Source organism: Homo sapiens, chromosome 8, assembly GCF_000001405.40.
Source record: "Homo sapiens chromosome 8, GRCh38.p14 Primary Assembly".
NCBI lineage: Eukaryota > Metazoa > Chordata > Mammalia > Primates > Hominidae > Homo > Homo sapiens.
In genome coordinates this window covers 126,703,534-126,726,523 of record NC_000008.11, presented here as the reverse complement: position 1 = coordinate 126,726,523, position 22,990 = coordinate 126,703,534, and the positions used below count along the sequence as shown (strand labels likewise).

The 22,990-nt window shown below is 39.6% G+C and overlaps 1 long non-coding RNA gene across 4 annotated transcripts in view; it reads right to left on the bottom strand.

Moving 5' to 3' along the window:
• LOC105375751 (uncharacterized) overlaps window positions 1–22,990 on the bottom strand; it is a 463,156-nt gene that overhangs the window by 294,508 nt on the left and 145,658 nt on the right. For 2 of the 4 annotated variants that reach the window (NR_188069.1, NR_188070.1), the window contains exon 3: window positions 12,850–13,238. This is a non-coding gene — a long non-coding RNA (uncharacterized LOC105375751). Of the gene's footprint in view, window positions 1–12,717; window positions 13,239–19,283; window positions 19,342–22,990 lie in introns of all 4 variants that reach the window. The other 2 variants (NR_188071.1, NR_188072.1) reach the window with 2 other exon arrangements.

Here is a 22,990-nt window from a genome sequence, read left to right as displayed (position 1 = left end):
TGCCACTAGGAGCACTGTGTTCTATTAACCATCACATAACTCTCTATTGGTCAGGTTCCCTTGGCTACCTCTAATAGTAATTACATTTACCTTGCCTCTTATGCTTAAGTGCTATTAACTGGCTTCCACTATTTGGGGATACTTCAATATTTATTGATATTAAGGATTCCAGTTCTGTAACAGCACCCCTTAATGAGAACTGTAACTTTTAGAAGACAGACACCTTTGAGCTTGTCAAGTGATGCTGGTGCCCGTATCACTAGCATGTTTCTTATTACTTTGGTAAGTAGGATGAGCTCTAAGCCTTCCTGAAAATCATAATAAACTAGTTGGTTTGCTGGTATAGGGAGATATATTCTCATATGCTCATTTATTTGACCCTTTTTGACCTCTTATTCCAAGTCTACCACTTTGTGTGGACTACTTGCAGCAGAGAAATATATACCACTCAAAGAGCACCTCTTGGTGTGCTAATGGGCTCTAATAGAGACCATGCAACTAATCATGGGATATCGACTGACCATATGGCTAGAGATGCCTATCATGAGCTGGGTTCCACCAGATTGATTCACAAAGACCTAAGTGCATGAAGGCCAACAGTGATCCATCATAAGATGGGATGGTATATCCAGGATCGGGACAAATATATTCATAAGGTATAAGTAAGCTCCAAGAGGATGTGGCCCATTTTCCCATGTTACCCACCACTGTTACACTGGTGCCTTTTCATCAGTTCAAACTTTATGACCAGCTGACAAAGGAGGAAAAGGACCAAGCTTGGTTCAGTGATGGGTTGGCTTCGTATGTGGAATAATGAAAATGGATTGGTGCTGAACTCAAAACCCATTGAGGGGTGCCACTGAGAATAGTAATGAGGTTAATTAGCCCAATGAACAGAGCTTTGGTCAATGAACCTGGACATCCACTTTGTATTAGAAGAGAAGTGGCCTGAAGTAAGGAAATATATGGACATGTAGGAAAGCAAATGGAATAGCTGGTGTGCCGGGGGTCTGGAAGGAGAAAGATTGGAATATTAGATCCTAAGTTGTCTGGAGAAGAGGCATGAGAATGGGGACTATGTCAGGGGGGCAGGATATGAGATTATCTTTTAATTGCAGGTTATTGCCTATGACAGCATTCACCATGGATGTGGCATTTAATAACCAAATAGACAAAAACGACTTGGCCAGTTGACATCAGCATGCTTCTGTCACTGATATTAAAAGAAAAGAAATTGAGAATACTCTTAGCCTCTAAATCCTGCTAGATAAGCAAGTTGTTTCTCTGTTTAAGTTGAACTCCTTATAGTGCCTTATATCTCCATTGCATTGTACAATTTCCTACACTGCTCCTGTTCATTTCTCACTCCAGAGAGTAGAGGCCTGCAAACTCCAGTCCTCATATTTGGAACATGTTGAGATCTTGTAAAACTCATATTGTAGCTTTGAAGCCTGGCAGTCCTATCCTTTGTCTCTTTATTTACAAGCAGAATCACCTTGAACCCATTGGTTTACGTCTCCAAAACTTAAAGAGAGATGATAATACCCACCCATAGGTAGTTATAAGGACTGAATGAAATACTGTTTTTTAAAGGCTTAGTGCAGGGCCTGTCACAAAGCCGATTTTGAAAAAGGGTTAGATGCTGTCCCCTGCAGTCAGAACTCCACAGTCAGACCTCTCCAGCTCTTGCTATCCATCTAGAACTCTTGCTTTCACTTTGATCAGACACCCAGATACCTTTTTGTCTTAGTCTGTTCAGGCTGCTATAACAAAATATAAACTGGGTAGATTAAGAGCAAGACAAATGTATTTTTCACAGTACAGTTCTGGAAGCTGAGAAGTTTAAGATCAAGGTGCTGGTAGATTCAGTGTCTGGTGAGGGCCCCCTCTCTGATTCATAAAAGCCATCTTCTCATTGTGTGCTCACATGGCTGAAGGGACAAGACAGCTCTCTTGGGCCTCTTTTATAAAGGCACTAATCCCTTTCATGATGACTCCACCCATGACCTGCTCACTTCTCAAAGGCCCCACCTCCTAATACCCTAATACCTTGGGGGCTATGATACCAAAATACAAATCTTGAGGGGATGCAAACATTCAGACCATAGCACTTTTAAAAATGATTTTACACTCAGACTAGCAAAGATACTTCATCTTCAATCTACTTCCAATACCCTGGTGATGACTATCAGAGGGCTCTGCTGAAATATGTTCTTAGGAGGCATTCACCAGCCGGTGCCTCACGACTTTGATTTCTACCTTATTTTTCTCTATGACTCCCTAGAGCACCTCTAAACATCCCTAGAGTGAAAGCACTTTGAAATCTACTGGCCTAGGGCAATTGTTACAAGCACATCACAAAGAGAACTTACTTAATGAAAGGTCTAAAAAATATATATCATTTAACAAAGCAATTAAAGACATCATCCAAGACTGTGCCACCTGGGCTCCTGTGGCCTACACCAGTAAACGTAATAACATTATTACAATTACACACCCGCCATCAGGCCCCAGATGTGGGTTAATAAAGAAATGCTAATGCAAAAAAAATAAAGACAACAGCTCAAAAATGTAGAGGGTGAGACTAAAAACGATAGACTAACATATCCCTCTCAACAAACCACATTCTGCAAATTAGTAAAACCAACAATAACTTATTGTGAGAGCTATCCTCACAGAATTGTTTTATTGGTTTATTTTCCCCATAAGGTGGGAAAACAGACCAACAAAACTAAAGACCAAAAATAGGGGGTAGGGTTAACTCTGCTGCTAACTAGCAATGCTAAGTAAAAATATTCTCACTGACAAACAAAAAAAAATGTGAAAATTATCTTCTCATATGACTAGCCTTTTCACTAGAGCTAGAAAAATAATATAACCTCTGTTTCCTAGTTTTCCATCTTATTTTAAAGATGGAAGAAGCAGTAAAAGAGAAAGAGGCTTGGGAAGTAAGGGGAGTGTTCATTTCTCAAAGCGGATGCTGACACCATGATTCTCTAATCTGGTAAACGTACTAAAGCAAATGTAGAAACACAGAGAAAATCAAAACAAAGCCAGTGAAGAGTTGGCAAATAGAGTAGATTTCACATAAACTGTGAATCAACAAATATGATGAAGTATCTAATATTCGGTCTGAGAACTATATTGTCTACTAAGGGGAATATAAAATAGAGTGTTTGCTAAATCAATTATTTACTCTCCATCAATCCTCAAAAAAATCCTATGAAGTAGATACTTAAAGATGAGTGAGCTTAGTCTTAAGGCATTTTAACCATCCACTAGAATGCTTTGGTTGTAAGTAACTGAAGCCCCTATTCAAACTCCATCCATAAGGAAATATTCGTTATCACCTGCAACTGAGAGTACAGTGGCTGAACTCTCCCTAGGTGTCATACAAGGACCTAAGTGCCAGCTTCATCTTATACCTGTATCCCTTGATGTTCATACACATGGGTCATGGTGACAATCTGAGCTAAATCTTTCCTTTCTCCTGTCCAGCATAGGGAAGAATGCTCCTTCCTCCTGGGTATGAACTATCTGTTCTTCTCTTCAAGATGTCTAGGACAACGCAGGTTATAAGATGACTCCTAAATCAATAACTGCTGCTCAAGGACATATGTGCTAGAATGCTAACAATAAGGGCCATTCCCAGAGCTAGAAATGATACCACTTTCCTCTGAGTCATGACAGATGCATATGTGAACAAACACTGGGTGCTTGTAGGAGGGAAGAAGGGGGATGGCGGCTAAATAGCCAATCAGTGAGTACACTACATTTGCCCAAAGTCAAATGGTTGGCAAATGGCAGAGTCAGCATTGAACAAATTAAATATAAAACCACAGGCTAATTTCTGCAACTTAGAAAACCACTTGCCATATCACCAGATAATTTTTCTTTTTTTTTTTGAGACAGAGTTTTGCTCTGTCGCCCAGGCTGGATTGCAGTGGCGCGATGTGGGCTCACTGCAACCTCTGCCCCCCTGGGGTTCAAGCAATTCTCCTGTCAGCCTCCCAAGTAGCTGGGACTACAGGTGCATGCCACCACACACGGCTAATTTTTTGTATTTTTAGTAGAGACAGGGTTTCACCATGTTGGCCAGGCTGGTCTTGAACTCCTGACCTCAGGTGATCCACCACCTCGGCCTCCCAAAGTGCTGGGAGTACAGGCGTAAGCCACCACGCCCAGCCAATAATTCTTTCCCAAAGTGCTGGGATTACAGGCATGAGCCACCATGCCCAGTCGATAATTCTTTTCCTTACAATCCAGCAATCAGTTTGTACAACTACACCTCCAGAGCTGCATGATAACCACATTTACCCAACAAAAAAATTAAGTTACTTGTTCTAGAGTAATGCACTTATCAAAATAACTAAATGCAGCATTTGAAGTCCAGAAAGTAAGAGGATATCCAATGCACATGCATGTTATGCCCACAGAAACCTTTGAAGGAAAGTCAATCGTGTTATAAATATATAATAAAAATATCTGTGCAATAATAAATATTGATGTGACACTTAGTTCATCTTATTATTATCATTTGTTCATGGGAAAGCAACTCTGTTGTACTTAAAAATTCCAAAAGGTATGGAATGCAAATATAATTTTTTAAATGACTAGTGGTAAACAAAACACCTCGGTCTGATAAGCTTTCTCTAATTTCTTCTGTCTGCTACTGATAATGGTCTGTATTTAATGCTGCCCCTGTGTCTGGTGTCTCTAAAATATTTAACACTGGAACAAAGATGAGCTGGGCTAGTTACTGGGCTCTTTTTAGTTGAGCGCCTGATCCCAAAATACTCACTCCTCATCTAGGGTTATACCAGTTCCATAGAGATAAATATCCTCCTTTCACAAAGCATTTTTGTTCCATGGGGAAAAAAGATGGATGGTGGCAGCCCAGGATACCACGTCTGCCTAGAGGATTAGTACCAGTTTATATGCAGAAGGAAATATGCCAGACAATTCAACTCTTGGAGCATCTCCCAATCCTCCCTCTGCTTTGGGCCATTATCATAAACCTGCTGCTCCCAGCTAGGCCACTAAGCCCATTAGGGTCCTTTCTTCCCCTGGGTAAACAGAATTCTTTCCCACTTTCTTTCTCTGAGTAGGTGTTTTGTGGATGAAAGATTTTAATATATAATATAGGCTTTTAAATTGAATTGAAAATGCTGACATGAGACACACAGAAATAGAGAATGACCAGGCTTGCGGCTGCCTTAAGTGTTTCTATAATACAACAGTCCCCTTCTTTTTTATTCTTCCTACCCTCATTCTTGGCCAGTTATATCACCTGCATCTGAAGTGTCACAGACTCTTGACCTTCTCTTCTCAAATTCAACTGCAAATTTAATTTGGTAAACATCTCCTTGCTCATTACCTCCCTGTTCAAAAACCTTAATTGTAGTGTAGACCCATTGCCTACAAGAGACCTTCTCAATCAAGGATTGGCAAACTTGCTCCATAAATGATCAGATAGCCAATATCCTTAGCTTTGGGGGCCGGATGATGCCTGTTGCAACTACTCAACTCTGTCTTCTGCCATTGTAGTGCTGAAGCAGCCAGAGACAATATATTAAAAAATGAGTTGACTACATTCAAACAAAACATTATTTATGAACACTGAAATTTGAATTTCATGAAATGTTCATATTCTTTTTATTTTTTTCCAAACTTTTAAAAAATATAACAACCCGTCTTATGCATGAGCCATACTAAAACAGGTGGCAGGTTGGGTTTGACCTATAGGCTATCATTTGGAAACTTCCAGGTCTAAAGTCCTTTAGTCCAACATTCAAATTAATACACCTTAACAATCCAGCCATCTCTTTAGCTTTAGTTCTCACTGTTCCTACTGCATCATTATGCCACTCCTAAGAAATTAAGCCGCTTTGTTCCCTTAATGTACTGTGTGCTCTCCTATCTCTGCTCTTTTGATAATGTCATTTCTTCCATCCAGCTTCAAGACCCAGTTTAAGTGTCACTTCTTTCATGAAACTTTTCCATAAAAGAATCTTTTCATGCTTTATAACAGCAATTTCTGCCTAGCTCTGCATTAAGCAATTTGCATACATTTTGCCCTTTAAACCTTAGACTGTGAAATAGGTGCCACTGGAACCATTTTACACACAGGAAATTGAGATTCAGCATGATTGTGTACCCAATGTCATAATAAATGTCCAAGCCAGGATTCTAACTCAGATATTTTGGACCCCAAAACCCATGCACTGCCTTTTAAACTCCAAGTACACCAAATAGGCTAGATTTTATGTGTACTTCTTTTATGAGGCTGATTTTATTTCTTCCCACTATTAGAGTTATTTGTGTGTGAATGTCTTCATCTCTTTTTCTGCAGTCTGGAATTCTCTAAGGCACAGTCCATCTTTTTCTTTTTGTATCCTCAGAGGGATTTGTATAGAATAGGTGCTTAATACACCTTTGTTGACAGAATGAGCATCATTCAATACATACTTGTAGCAATGAATTCCTATTATTAACTTTTGGATTTGATTTCCTATAATCACTACCTTTGATGATAGAAAAGAAACCTGTCTTTTTTTTTTCCCAGAAGGCAAACTCAGAGATAAACAGAAAATCAAAACTGGCTCCCGTCAGTACATATGGAAAGATTTTACTTGTGCTCAAGTAAACACAAGACAGTTACAAATATGAAATGCATTTGGCCAATGTTTTGGATGTTAGCACCTTCTCTTGGAAAAAAAAATATACTAGAATTGTTGGTGCATTAATGATTTCCTTTAGCATGTGATTTCTCAGATTGGCATGATCTTTATGGGCTTTATAGAAACTTTGATATCAGCAACAATGGCACTGCTGGTTAGCGGGTGTAGAGCCTGCTCCCAGCCTGGTTTATGACAGGACCAGCTTCTATCTCTATTGGATGATTGGATCATTTAGAATGGAACTTTTGTCTGGCCATGGTATTTGGCAACAATGACAGACACAGCATTCAACAACTGCCATCCTCCTGCAATTCAACTTGATAAATCTAAAAAGTGACTGATTCTCCTGTCTTCTGATGTTAAGTGTGACACATCTTTTCCTCCTTTAGATATGATACCTGTTAGAACTTAGTAGATTGAGAAGTGGTATGGCATAATGGCACAGAGTCTGAGTTTTGAATGCAAGAACCACCATTTACTCACTCTATGACTGTCCATGCTTTATATTATGTATCTGGCTTTTGTTTTCATTGCTTGTAAAATGGAGAAAAAATAATATCGTCTTCACAGAATTTAAATAAGACAGACAGCATAAAGAACATCCTCATTACAGTGTCTGGCACGTAGTAGGTACTCAATTACTGAAGTTACTTCCTTCTTTCCGTGTTATATTATGTTTTAAAGCAAGGACTAGCACTAGTTCATACGTTAGTTGTGTAAGAATAGGGTTTTATTACTTCATTTTGTTTTGCATTGTTTAGTTACTCTCTCAGGAACATGATTGAAATTTGATTCATGAATTATAATTCAAGTCTATATTAAATGAATAATGAACCTAAAAGTTAAGACTCCAGATTTCATTTTATTTTATGTTTATTTTATTTTTATTTTATTTTCCTTATTTTTTTTGAGATGGAGTCTTGCTCTGTCACCCAGGCTGGAGTGCAGTGGTGTGATCTCAGCTCACTGCAACCTCCGCCTCCAGGGTTTAAGTGATTCTCCTGCCTCAGCCTCCTGAGTATCTGGGATTGCAGGCGCCTGCCACCACGCCCGGCTAATTTTTTGTATTTTTATTAGAGACAAGGTTTCACCAAGTTGGCCAGGCTAGTCTCAAACTCCTGACCTCAAATGATCCACCCACCTGGGCCTCCCAAAGTGCTGGGATTGCAGGCATGAGCCACTGTGCCTGGACAAGACCCCAGATTTTAAAGTTGAGGTTTTGAGAGCAGACAATAAGTTGTGCTACAGATGTATTGAAAATCTGTGACTTATAAACATAAAGCAATAGAAATGAAGATTCAAAGGGTGAGAACCATTGCATGTTGCTGCCCCATGGCTCAGGGATCTCAGGTGTAGCTGCTAAGGACCAACCAGTTGTCTTCAGCGAACCGTGCCCTCGTGATGAGGTTAGAAATCTATTCCCTAGAAGGTTTTTTTCTATCACAATCGCCTCCCTTCTCTCTCTTTCAGGATAAATCACCCAAACCATACTATTTCATTTTTATTTTTTTCTCTCAACATTTTACCTCTAGTTATAGCTAAGTTAATATCATCCCAGGTAAATGTTTTCTTCCATAATTATATGCATTCCCCTTAGCTAATTTAGTCCTCCCCATCTTCTTCATGTTTTATCCAATTATTTTAAGAACTTCTATCTCCCTGCTTAGTTTGTTACTTTTCTGAACATCCAAGCAACCTAACTCAAACTTTCTATAAAGAAAATTTTAAGTGTCCTCAACATTTAAACTCACAAATTTGCCCAGAATTTTTAGAAATCCTATCCTCCATATTTTTAAGCTCATATTCAAATAAATGAATTCAATTACTCAAATAAATAAAATTATTCTTCTTCATCAAGACTTACATATTTTGGTATTATTTAGTAGTTAGATTCTTAAATGAGCTGATTTGTCTTTGTAGCTGTAGTATTTCTGTTTACATCATGTTAGGCAGGTTCATGGCCTAAATAAGATACTTAACCACCATTCACAATAATATTTATATGAATACAAGGTGTTGAATTTCAATGACCCATATACAATTACATTTTGGGAACCTAATTCATTTGAAGGATAGTTGTTGCTTGCATATAAGCTATTAGTTGATTTTAGAAAATTCATAGCTCACTTAATATAGCGTAAATCATATAGTTCATTTTTTTACTTCTTGGCAAATGTTTCTGATAGTTATCATGTACTTCAACTGCTAGGATTTTTGCAAGTTTCGAAGTTCACAGGGAATCTGAAGGGCATATCTTAATCAACATTAGCCCACGTGGTTGCTCACAGTTAAAAGATTTTGGGTTAACTACAAGTAGCTTTTAATGGTTGGAGTTTGGTGAGTGTGCAAGGTCTCCCCTTTGGGTCTTTCTACCGGCTGTCATATTCCCAGAAAGCTAGTCTCTGAGCAAATTTGGTCAGATATTCAAATGTTTATTAGTAAAGCTGTAAAGAAAAAAAAAGTAAGTTAACTGTACTAGCTCAATAACATTTCTGTTCTCTTTTCTTTTATATACTCTGACAAATTTATTCTGAAACAGAGTAATTTCATCAATGGATTGTTATAATGCGTTCATGCAATGGCAGAGGCCTTACAATCCATCTGGCCAATTCAAGTTCTTGGACCCGTTCATTTCACCAGTTTAAAAATTATGTCTAACAACTCTCATACTAATTAATAAACTCTCTAGTGTTGATCATTCACGAAGAAAGTTGAATCGTTTTTTCAAACCACTTTACCGAGGTATGATTGACATACAAAGAAAAGCTATATATTTAATTTATACAATTTGACGAGTTTGATGATAAGTACACACCTGTGAAACCACGACTGCAATGACATAAGCACATCCTTCTAATAGCACCGCTAGTCTGTAGGCTTCTGATTAGGTTTTCAAAGGCTAACTGACTTAGAATGTGTATTGCCAAGAAGGATGCTTCAATGTTAACTAACTGGAATGAGATTAAAACACACACACACACACACACACACACACACACACATGCACGCACACATTCACGCACCATAAATTACAGATATGTAAGATACTTGAAAATTCTAAAATCCAAAATTTTAAAATTCTATACCTTCCTATCTTTTCACACAGGGGTCTTATGGAGATTCAAGTATAAGAAATGAGAATGGAGCAGATACGGTAACACAGTATGACAGCCAGGCCCCAGAAAACTAAGAAAAGACTTTGTGTCCTTTTGTGGTGAGAAAATGCTGAAGGTTTTAAATTGGGAGGAACTCAAAAATGTGTAAAATTCAATGTTTCTGAAGGGGCATAGGAGAAGGAGCCAAGGATTACTGCCCATAGAAAGCGTGGATAAAAAAAAAATACTTAATTTCAGTGGTCTAAAATTAAGGAAAAGATATGATGAAATGACTATTTTCCTACTGTGTGATATTCTTTTAAAAATGAGCATTGTTTAGTCTGGCACAGTGGCATGTGCCTGTAATCCCAGTTACTCAGGAGGCTGAGGAGGGAGGATTACTTGAGCCCAGGAGTTGAAGTCCAGCCTGGGAAACATAGTGAGACCTCGTCTCAAAACGAACAAAAAAAGTGTTATCTGTCCATTAAGAAAATCATATATGTAAAATAATAACCATACAGAACACACATCCTGATTGCTGTATTTGTTTTTATTTTGACAGTGAAATTTATATTTCTAGTTTTTAAGATGCCAATTTAAGATTGGGTCATACAATTAATGTAAAATGCCACCAGTGTAATTAGTGTCTATGTTTAAAATCATATGACCCTGAAAATGAGGTTTAGGATGTTGTGATTTATCAAAAATAAAGCCAGCATGGTTTAATTTTTAATTATTAAAAAATATTTGATTAGCAAAATGATTTAGTCATTAAGCATAATTTAATAATTAACATGCATTTAAATAAATTATAAATATTTAATCAAATCAATAATTATTTTTAAATCCAACTCATAAGGCAATTAGGTACTTTCTGTTAGCTGCAGAGTCTGAGATCCAGACAGGAAGGGCATTGCTTCTGTAAAATATGGTGCTATTTACCCTTCATCTATTTATAAACTGGGCTCTGTCAGTGATTCAAGAGAACAAAACACATTTAATTACCACCCAATTCTCGAATGCTCTCTACAAAATCGCTACCAAGGTTGTTCCAACCTAGGCTTGAACCCCTCCAATGATAGGGATCTCATTTCATCCCAAGCTCTCCAATTCAATCTTTCAAGAGCACTGGCTATTATAAAATCCATTCTTGTTTGCTTTTGCTCAACATATATGTACGAGGGACTCCTACTGTCAGATAATGTCATTGGCTCTGGGACTCAGCATGAGACAACACAAATCTTGTTACTCTCACGGGACTTAAGTTATAGTAGGGAAGTCAGACAATAAAGATAAGTACATGAATTATCTTTCTAGGTTGGAACAGATATGATCTACTGAAAACAAAACAAAACAGTGAAGGGCCATAGGAAGAACTCTGGCATTGAGTAAGTTTCTGGAGAAAGGGAGTAAGTAAGTGAATAACTGGTGAGAGGCAGAACTGGCACAAGAGGCAACAAATGCAAAGACCCCAGGAGGAAATGTGCCTGGAGGCTTTAAGAAACACCAGGATGTCCTTGTGGCCAGAGCAGTGCAAGTGTGAAGGGAATGAGAGGTGACAGAGTGCTGGCCGTCCTCGCAGCCCTCACTCGCTCTCGGCGCCTCCTTGGCCTTGGCGCCCACACTGGCCGCGCTTGAGGAACCCTTCAGCCCACCGCTGCACGGTGGGAGCCCCTCTCTGGGCTGGCCAAGGCCGGAGCCCGCTCCTTCAGCTTGCAGGGAGGTGTGGAGGGAGAGGCGCGAGTGGAACCGGGGCTGCGCGCGGCGCTTGCGGGCCAGCTGGAGTTCCGGGTGGGCGTGGGCTTGGCGGGCCCCGCACTCGGAGCAGCCGGCCGGCCCTGCCGGCTCCGGGCAATGAGGGGCTTAGCACCCGGGCCAGCGGCTGCGGAGGGTGTGCTGGGTCCCCCAGCAGTGCCGGCCCACCGGCGCTGTACTCGATTTCTCGCCGAGCCTTAGCTGCCTCCCCGCGGCGCATGGCTCGGGACCTGCAGCCCGCCATGCGTGAGCCTCCCCCTCCTCCGTGGGCTCCTGTGCGGCCCAAGCCTAACCGACGAGCGCCACCCCCTGCTCCACGGCGCCCAGTCCCATCGACCACCCAAGGGCTGAGGAGTGCGGGCGCACTGCGGGGGACTGGCAGGCAGCTCCACCTGTGGCCCCAGTGCGGGGTCCACTGGGTGAAGCCAGCTGGGCTCCTGAGTCTGGTGGGGACTTGGAGAACCTTTATGTCTAGCTAAGGGATTGTAAATACACCAATTGGGACTCTGTATCTAGCTCAAGGTTTGTAAACACACCAATCGGCAAACTGTCTAGCTCAGGGTTTGTAAATGCACCAATCCACACTCTGTATCTAGCTACTCTGGTGGAGACTTGGAGAACCTTTATATCTAGCTAAAGGATTGTAAATACACCAATCGGCACTCTGTATCTAGCTCAAGGTTTGTAAACACCAATCAGCACCCTGTCTCTAGCTCAGGGCTTGTGAATGCACCAACTGACACTGTATCTGGCTACTCTGGTGGGGACTTGGAGAATCTTTGTGTGGACACTCTGTATCTAGCTAATCTAGTGGAGACGTGGAGAACCTTTGTGTCTAGCTCAGGGATTGTAAACGCACCAGTCAGCGCCCTGTCAAAACAGACCACTCCACTCTCTGTAAAATGGACCAATCAGCAGGATGTGGGTGGGGCCAGATAAGAGAATAAAAGCAGGCTGCCCAGCCAGTAGTAGCAACCCACTCAGATCCATTTCCGGACAGTGGAAGGTTTGTTCTTTCGCTTTTTGCAATAAATCTTGCTACTGCTCACTCTTTGGGTCCACACTGCCTTTATGAGCTATAACACCACGAACGTCTGCAGCTTCACTCCTGAAGCCAGCGAGACCACGAATCCACCGGGAGGAACGAACAACTCCAGACGCGCCGCCTTAAGAGCTGTAACACTCACCGCGAAGGTCTGCAGCTTCACTCCTGAGCCAAGGAGACCATGAACCCACCAGAAGGAAGAAACTCCGAACACATCCAAACATCAGAAGGAACAAACTCCGGACACGCTGCCTTTAAGAACTGTAACACTCACCGCCAGGGTCCGAGGCTTCATTGTTGAAGTTAGCGAGACCAAGAACCCACCAATTCCGGACACAGGAACACTAGGAGATGAGGCCAGAGAGGCATCTGGATGCGATTGGGATGAACACGGAGGGACAGGCCATGGTAAGGTCGTCTCCCAGTAACTGCTGAATGTGAAGAATGGAAGTGGGGCCCAAACAAAGAAGCCTCCAAAGGAGAGAGCTCTGAGGAATGAAAATCGGCCCTCACGTGTCCAGAATCTTTTCTTCCTTAGGTTAAACAAATCTATGTAATTCATTCTCTTGGTTTTCATGTCACCTGGTTTTGCAGCCCTCACTATTGTGGAGACTCTCTTTTGAATGTGATTCAGGTTGTCTGTTTCTTCTCTCTGTATGGGACCTGTAACCAGGTAGAACAATTAGTTAAAAAAGAGCAGTCTTTACATTTAGGGAGCAATGTGCTCCCACGTAGCCCTTAATTGCCCTTGTGGGAACCCTTATTGTGGATTATAATGGCTGTCTGTTTATTTATGCATCTCCCACATTAGAGGGGAACTTCTTAATAGCAATGACTTGCTCTCTTGTCACAGTTGCAACCCAGAGCCACTAATATCATTGGCTCGTGTATTGTTGAATAGCTTCACCTACAGGTGATGTTAGTTGAATATTTATAGATGAAAAACCAGAGGCACAGAAAGGTTAAGAAACTTGCCCAAACTCACAAAGCTAGAAAATGGAAGAGCTAGAGTATGACCCCGAGCCAGCAGTCTGTCTGAATAGCCTGTTCTCTGACCCTGCTATAGTACATCCCACTGGAATCATTATTTTATTCTTTTGTCTATCTTTTCTACCACTCTCTGAACACCCTGGCCCAACAGCTATGTTATATTCATTACTGCATCCATCATATCTAGCACAGTGCCTGGAAAAATCGGAGCTCATTGTTGAACAGATGGTGTTTGAGAAAGTTTTGTTCAGTTTTTAATCTTGTGAAATTAATCTAGCTGAGCCATAACTGATGGTATTTGCAGAAAGACTGGATTTCATATCTATTGATCAAAGTAGAACAGATGGAACACATTCAGCATGTCACTCAGGTAGGAGAAAATTATCCCCCACTCCCAAAAAACACAAAAACACACAGACCACCGCCCAGGGCTTGTCTGTGCCTGTGAGAGCACAGATGCAGATTCAATTCTCTTATGGATCAGTTTGCTCCAAGATCATTAGGTGAAGTAGGAAAGATGACCCGGTCCAAACTAAGCTCCCCAACAAGTTAGATATCTCAAAGGACACATGAGTGATAATTTGAAAAGAGATTGGTGGAGTAATTAAGTCTTTTTTTTAATTTTTAGAGGATAGGACAATGAATTTTGGGTTGATCTCATCACTCTACAATAAGTAACCAGTCAATGTGACAAAGTGGAAAAAGCTCAGGCAGGTCTTGAAATCGGAGAACCGAACTTCAATTTTTGCCATGTGAACTTGGGAAAGTCTTTTTAACTCTCATGTACCATGTACTCTCATATCTCTTGTAAAGCAGGATGAAACCTTTGTCCTTCCTGCCTTCCATGGCTACCATGTGAATTCAATGGAATAATGTACAAGGCACTGAGGTGCCAAACAAGCTTGCCTCCTGGGATGTAACCAGAATGCAATTTTGTTTTTGTTTTTTACTACCTCATTAGACTTATTTCATGGGGTTAGTTGTTCTATCACTGGACGAAAACTTGATCAGCCCCATGGCACTTCTGCCCACTTTAAGCCTGAAATATAGTGTCAGTTCAGTCACCGAAAGTGTCTAGTCACTGTAATAATCACAGAGTCAATCTTTATTAAAAAGTAAAACTTCTCTCCACCCTCACAGCTAGGGCCTGTGTCAGGAGATTCCCCCAAACCACCCCTAGTTTCAATGATTTGCTAGGAAGACCTATAAGATTCATCATGTAATGGTACTCATAACTATGATTTACTATAGCAAAGAGGTACAAAACAAAATCAGCAAAGAAAAAAGTGCATGAGGCAAAATCTTGGAAAAATTAAACTCAATTCCCATGACCCTCTCCTAATAGAGTCACATAGGATGAGCTTAGTTCCCCAGTAATGAATTGTAACAACACAGGTGAAAGTTTGCTAACCAGGGAGGCTCAGCTCCAGCGTTTTTACTGGAGGCTTATCACATAGGCACCCCCTAATTAACACATACCAAAATTCCAGTCTCCCAGAAATAAAGCATGAGTTCAGCATAAAACATATTGTTTGCATAAACTTTTTAGGCACAGTGAGCTACTCTGATCAGTTAGAGAGACAGAAACCCTCTTGAAAGCTGAGTTTTCAGATACTAGCCAAGGGCCAGCCTTGTAAGCAGGCCTTTCTAAGGAAACACAGTCAAGCCTGCTACATGAACTCTGAGGCTGGTGATTTCAGTGCAGAAAGATGTGCATCCTTCTCTTTGCTCTTCCCTACCTTCTTCCCAACGATCTAGCTGCAACTGAGTATGGAAGAACTGGGGGAGAAAGGAGAGATAAAAAAAGCAGGAAACTTTTTCCTTTTTTTTTTTTTTGTTTAGTTTTGTTTTTATTATACTTTAAGTTCTGGGATACACGTGCAGAACGTGCAGGTTTGTTACATAGGTATACACATGCCATGGTGGTTTGCTGCACCCATCAACCCATCACCTACATTAGGTATTTCTCCTAATGCTCTCCCTCCCCTAGCCCCACACCCCCCGACAGGCCCCAGTGTGTGATGTTCCCCTCCCTGTGTCCATGTGTTCTCATTGTTCAACTCCCACTTTTGGGTAAGAACATGCGGTGTTTGGTTTTCTGTTCCTGCGTTAGTTTGCTGAGAATGATGGTTTCCAGCTTTAACCATGTCCCTACAAAGGACATGAACTCATCCTTTTTTATGGCTGCATGGTATTTCGTGGTGTATATGTGCCACATTTTCTTAATCCAGTCTATCATTGATGAGCATTTAGGTTGGTTCCAAGTCTTTGCTATTGTGAACGGTGCTGCAATAAACATACATGTGCATGTGTCTTTATACCAGCATGATTTATAATCCTTTGGGTATATACCCAGTAATGCGATGACTGGGTCAAATGGTATTTCTAGTTCTAGATGCTTGAGGAATCGTCACACTGTCTTCCACATGGTTGAACTAATTTACACTCCTGCTAACTGTGTAAAAGCGTTCCTATTTCTCTACATCCTCTCTAGCATCTGTTGTTTCCTGAGTTTTAATGATCACCATTCTAACTGGCGTGAGATGGTGTCTCATTGTGGTTTTGATTTGCATTTCTCTAATGACCAGTGTTGATGAGATTTTTTACATATGTTTGTTGGCTGCATAAATGTCGTCTTTTGAGAAGTGCCTATTCATATCCTTTGCCCACTTTTTGATGTTTTTTTTTTTTCTTGTAAATTTGTTTAAGTGCTATTCTGGATATTAGCCCTTTGTCAGATGGATAGATTGCAAAAATTTTCTCCCACTCTGTAGGTTGCCTGTTCACTTTGATGATAGTTTTTTTGTTGTGCAGGAGCTCTTTAGTTTAATTAGATCCCATTTGTCAATTTTGGCTTTTGTTACCATTGCTTTTGGTGTTTTAGTCATGAAGTCTTTGCCCATGCCTATGTCCTGAATGGTATTGCCTATGTTTTCTTCTAGGGTTTTTGTGGTTTTAGGGCTTATATTTAAGTCTTTAATACATCTTGAGTTAATTTTTGTATAAGGCATAAGGAAACGGTCTAGTTTCAATTTTCTACATATGGCTAGCCAGTTTTTCCAACACTGTTTATTAAATAGAGAATTGTTTCCTTATTGCTGTTTTTGTCAGAATTGTCAAAGATCAGATGGCTGTAGATGTGTGGCAGTATTTCTGAGGCCTCTGTTCTGTTCCATTGGTCTATATATCTCTTTTGGTACCAGTACCATGCTGTTTTGGTTACTGTAGCCTTGTAGTATAGTTTGAAGCATGATGCCTCCAGCTTTGTTCTTTTTGCTTAGGATTGTCTTGGCTATATGGGCTCTTTTTTGGGTCCATATGAAATTTAAAGTAGTTTTTGCTAATTCTGTGAAGAAAGTCAATGGTAGTTTGATGAGAATAGCACTGAATCTATAAATTACTTTGGGCAGTATGGCCATTTTCATGATATTGATTCTTTCTATCCATGAGCATGGAATGTTTTTCCATTTGTTTGTGTCCTGTCTTATTTCCTTGAGCAGTGGTTTGTAGTTCTCCTTGAAGATGTCCTTCACATCCCTTGTAAGTTGGATTCCTAGGTATTTTATTCTCTTTGTAGCAATCGTGAATGGGAGTTCACTCATGATTTGGCTTTCTGTTTGTCTGTTATTGGTGTATAGGAAAGCTTGTGATTTTTGCACATGGATTTGGATCCTGAGACTTTGCTGAAGTTGCTTGTCAGCTTAAGGAGATTTGGGGCTGAGATGATGGGGTTTTCTAAATATACAATCATGTCATCTGCAAACAGAGACAATTTGAATTCCTCAAGAAGCGCAGGAAATTCCTTACTTACCCAGTACTGCTATAACTTTACTGCACACATCTGGGTCTGGCTGGTGTTTAAAGATTGGCATTGTGTCTCACTGGCATCCTTGTAGGTTCTTCAAAGTTCTTCCCTGGATTTAATAGAACTTCTGTGATGTGGTGACACATTTTTCTGGCTGGAGGTGGCCCCTCAGCCCCAGGATTTTCAGAGCACTTTGCATGGTCTCCCTTGGAGCTCCATCACACTTCTGAGTAGCCCTATCGGACAGGAGGTAAAAGAGCTGCATGTGAGCTCTCTCTTGTGCTCAGCCCACATCTGGCTTATGCATTTCTACACCTCTAAACACTCTGAGTGTAGACAGTCCATTGCAGGCCCCTCACCTTGGCTGCAGTTGCCTGAAGAGCCAGCCAGCCTGACTTTCTCTTAGTTTTCCAGCTTAGAGTCAATCAGGTATTGCCCCATTGTTCTCCCACTATCAGGAGCTAAGTAAGCATCAGGCTTTCTGAGTGGTCTTTTTAATGCATTTCTTTTCATTTAATGTAAAAAGTGGAATTCTATTTTTTCTCACCTTGGGGATTGAGAGGGAAGATGGGGAAGGGAGAGGAAGGAGGAAACGTGAAGGAGCTCATAGTGAACCAGCAGCTTTATCCAGAAAGTTATTTCATAAAGACTCCAAGTATTTATCTCACAACTCATTTTGATATCTAAAATCCAGATGCAAATCTAAGTTTTAAGTGTCCTGAAGTTTTTATAATTTAGAATGAGATTTTTCTTCTTTACAAAAAATAAAAGTATAGTATAAAACAATGTACTAAAAGAATATTTTTTGAATGATATCATAAATCACAACAAAACAAATTTTTTGAAAGCTGATGAATACTACAAACATTATAAAACTCAAAAATGTGATATCATTATTAACTATCTAACATTCTTCTATTATGCCTTTTCCTTTAATTTTAGCTATAGACTCTTTGATTCCTTCTATAAAGACAACAACTTTGTAACATTTTCAACAGTGTGAAAAGAAAGACAATCCAGTCTTTCTTCTAGCATGGTTGTTTTGGAATTCATTTGTATTATGATAAGTTCGATATTTTTTTCAGCATCATAACACATTATTAGCAATGTCATATAAATGTCTAGGATTGTTGCCAAAACTGAGAAAGTCTCCATCAAGTTTCTTTCACACAAGAGTTGTAAGATTTGGAAGACATTTCCACAGACCCAGGCCTGTGGTTCCATTTCCAACTTTTATTTTTGCCTCATCCCATGTGCTTCTGTGCTGGGATCTGCCATCCTGGTTCTGCACCCATGTGAGTTGGTGCTATGAGAAGGTCAAGTATTTGTGAAAACCATGCCCACACTCAAACTGTTAGTGAGAATGTAAACTGTAACACAAATGTGACCTGGAACCACGTAATTATATTCCAACCCAAACTAGCTGTGTCCACAAATCAACTTCTCATTAGTTCAGTGGTTATCAATGGAGTGAGGGTTCAATTTTATCTCTCCAGGGGACTTTGTCACAACTGTGTGGGTGAGAGAATAGGGGGTTGCTACCAGGATCTAGTAAGCAGAGGTAAGAAATGCTGCTAAATATCCTTCAATGTATAGGACAGTGACCATAGCAAAGAATTACCTGGCTCAAAATGTCAATTTTGCTGAGATTGAGGAGTCTTACTAGATGGATCCTTCTACCTAGATCTCCAAAAAATGCCCCTAGTCACTATAACAACACCCTATCCTTTGGGAGGTGTGAAAGAAAGAAAACTCCAAGTGGAAATAGACTGTGATCCTAATGCATTGCTGTTAGAAAGTATTACTTTTGTAAGTTTTGCAAAAATAAATGATCATGTAATCACATTAAAAGGCTCTCCCAAGGCCTTGGAAAAGGAATTGGGGGTTCTAATCCACACTGATGCTTTCTTTACCTTCATCAGTTTCAGAGTAAATCCACCTCTGCTAATATGTCTTGTCTTCACATCCCTGCTGAAACAGAGGCAGAAAGAAGAGTCCTTGGTTAACATCCTATTACACATCGAACAGAAACAAACATTTTGTAATGTGTTCTTGTAACAGGCTAGTATATCATCTCAATCTTCTAATTTCTAAAATAGAGAGAGGACACAAACTCGCTGTTGGTAGTCTGGGAGCTTGCCTGCAGACATAATTTGTTGATTCTCACAGGATTTAAATGTTTTAAATAAATTTTCAGCCCTTTAAAATTAAGATATATACCACGGAATCTCAGATGTCAGGCATTTATTGAAAAATTCAGTAGCATGAGGCTTTCACCCCCACCTGGCAACAGGTGAAGCTGGTTTTAGTGTGCATATATTTTTTCAGTTTGCCTAAGACCTACCTAGCCCATTGCCTATACTCTCTGCCTGGCCCTCTAGGTACTTGAATCTGCAAGACCACTCTGTGGTATCAGTTAACTATGAAGGGCTGTGCAAATATTCAACAGTGATACTGATATTTACACTTTAACTTTTCCATGCAGCCTTTTCTGGATGCTGGACAAACACTCCCTTATTTATCTTGGGTCATTTTTCTTTTCTCAGAGGGTCACAAGGTGTGTACTTTAATAAAAGCCACATAATCTCTGCAATTTGTCACATGTTGGACCTTCTAGGAAAAATCAAAGGGCAAAGGGGAAAAATGTGTTCTCTGTGTCCAGTGCAGCAGGGCTAACTAAAAGGTGGCAAGCCTCAAAGAAATGATCTGCAATAAATTGCTCCAGGAAAAGCATGTTTTGAAAAGGCCATGAGATAAAATATCATATTGATTTGAAAGCCCAAAAGGCCAATTAATCTTGTGAAAATTAATGAACAAATTAAAAGTCAAGAAATAATGGCAACACAGAAATTGCAGTATGTCTAAAATTAAAATTGTAATTTATCTCTCATTTGAGACAGGGAGATACTACTCAATCATGTTTAGCAAAAAATTTAAGTGGGCTCTTTTCAAAGCTAGGTCTTCAGGTCCCCTTCAAAAACCATCTATGATTCCCTGGAAGGCATAAGTTAGTGTATTAGATGTCAGGCATCAAAAGAGGTAAAACTGTTTGAACATTCTTTATCTCAGAATAAATCTCAGGACTCTGTCCTATCAGTCTTGTTCTTAAATGCAGGATTTCTTATTTAGTTGAAAGATATCAAATCTAGTTTTCTTGTTTTTTATTGAAGGAACAGAAACTCAGGGTTACTTGGAAACTTGTTATGATGCCTAATTTTATGTGTCAACTTGGCAAGGCCAGGGTGACAAGCTATGTGGTGAAACATTATTCTGGATGTTCCTGTGACAGTGTTTTGGGATGAGATTAACACTTAAATCTGTTCATTGCACTTTGAGTAAAGCAGATTGTCCTCTATAAAATGGGTGGGCTGCATCCAATCAGTTGAAGGCCAGAATAGAACAAAAGACTGACCTTCTCTGAGCAAGGATTAATTCTGCAGCAAATGATCTTCAAACTTGAACCTTAGCATCGACTCACCCCTAGTTTCCAGCCCCCAGCCCACCCTGCAAGTTTTGAACTTGTCAGCCCCATAATCTCATGAGCCAATTCCTTAAAATAAATCTCGTTCTATATACAGGCATACCTTTTTATTGTAGTTTCACTTTATTACACTTCACAAATATTGCATTTTTTTACAAATTGAAGGTCTCTGAAAACTCTGCATTGAGTAAGTCTGTCTGAGCCATTTTTTTCAATAGCGTGTGCTCACTTCATGTCTCTGTCACATTTTGATAATTGTTACGATCCTTTGAAACCTTTCCTTTACTATTATATCTATTATGGTGATCTGTGATCAGTGATCTTTGATGTCACTATTGTAATTATTTGGGGGCACCATCAGTCACACCCATATAAGATGGCAGACTTAATAAATGTTGTGTTTTCTCAATGCTCCACAAACCACCCATTCTCCCATCTTTCTTCCTCTTCTTAATTCTCTCTGTTCTCTGAGACAGAGCAATATTGAAACTAGACACCTCTCACTTTAAATTAAAAGCTAGAAATGATTAAGTTTAGTGAGGAAGGCCATGTCAAAAGCTAAAATAGGACAAAAGTTAGGCGTCTTTATCCAGTTAGTCAAGTTGTTAATGCAAAAGAAAAGTTCTTTTTTAGAGGGGAATTTTTAAAATGGCTTTATTGAGATATTATGCACATGTCATACAAGGCACTACTTTCAAGTGTAGAATTCCACAGCTTTTAGTATAGTCACAGAGTTTTCTATCCATTACCATAATCAATTGTAGAAGTTTTGTCACCCAAAACAAAATCCCGTATCCATTAGCAGTCACTCCGTGTTTCTCTCTAAACCCACTCCCCTCAGCCCTAGGCAGCCACCAATCTACTTTCTGCTTCAATAGACTTCCCAGTAGACATTTTATGTAAGTAGAATCATATAATGTGGTCTAGTGTAACTAGCTTATTTCATTAGTATAACGTTTTCAAGGTTCATTTATATTGCAACATCTGTCAGTACTTCATTCCTTTTATGGCTGAATAATATTCCACTGTATGGATTTAGCACATTTTATTTATCTATTAATGAGTTGATGGACATTTGGGGTGTTGACTTTTTTGCTATTATGACTAATGCTGTTATGAACGTTCATATACAAGTTTTTATATGGGCATATGTTTTCATTTTTCTTGGGTATATACTTAGGAGTGCAATTTTGGGTTATATCCTAACTCTATATTTAACTTTTTGAGGAATGACAACGTGCACCGTTTTACATTCCCATCACTAGTGTATGAGAGAATGAGATTTCTAACACCTTTGCTAACATATTATTATTTGTCATTTTTAATGTAACCATCCAGGTGGTGTGAAATAGTATCTCATTGTTTTTTAAATAAATTTAACTTCTATTTCAGATTCATGAGGTACATGTGCAGGCTTGTTATATGAGTACATTGTGTGATGCTGAGGTTTGCATTACAAACAATCCCATCACCCAGGTAGTGAGCATATTACCCAATATGTAGCTTTTTAGCCTTTGTCCCATTCCCTCTGTAGTAGTCCCCCACTTAGTCCTCAGTTTCTAGCGTTCTTTTTTTTTATATCCATGTGTACTCAGTGTTTAGCTCCCACTTATAAGTGAAAACATGCAGTATTTGGTTTTCCATTCCTGCATTAATTTTCTTAGGATAATGGCTTCCAGCTGCATCTATGTTGCTGCAAAGAATATGATTTTGTTCTTTTTCATGGCTATGTAATATTCCACAGTGTATAAGTATCAATAACATATTTTCTTTATTCTATCCACTGTTGATGGGCCCATAGGTTGATGGCTTTGCCACTGTAAATAGAGATGTGCTGAACATGAATGCATGTATCCTTTCAGTACAATTTATTTTCCCTTGAGTGTATACAGAGTAATGAGATTACTAGGTTGAATAGTAGTTCTGTTTTAAGTTCTTTGAGAAAACTCCAAACAGCTTTCCACAGTAGTTGAACTAATTTACATCCCCAACAAGAGTGTATACACATTCGCTTTTCTCCATAGACTCACCAGCACCTTATTTTCTGACTTTTTAATAATAGCAGTTGTGACCATGTTATCTCACTGTAGTTTTGATTTGCATTTTTCTGATGATTAGTGAAGTATTTTTTTCATATGT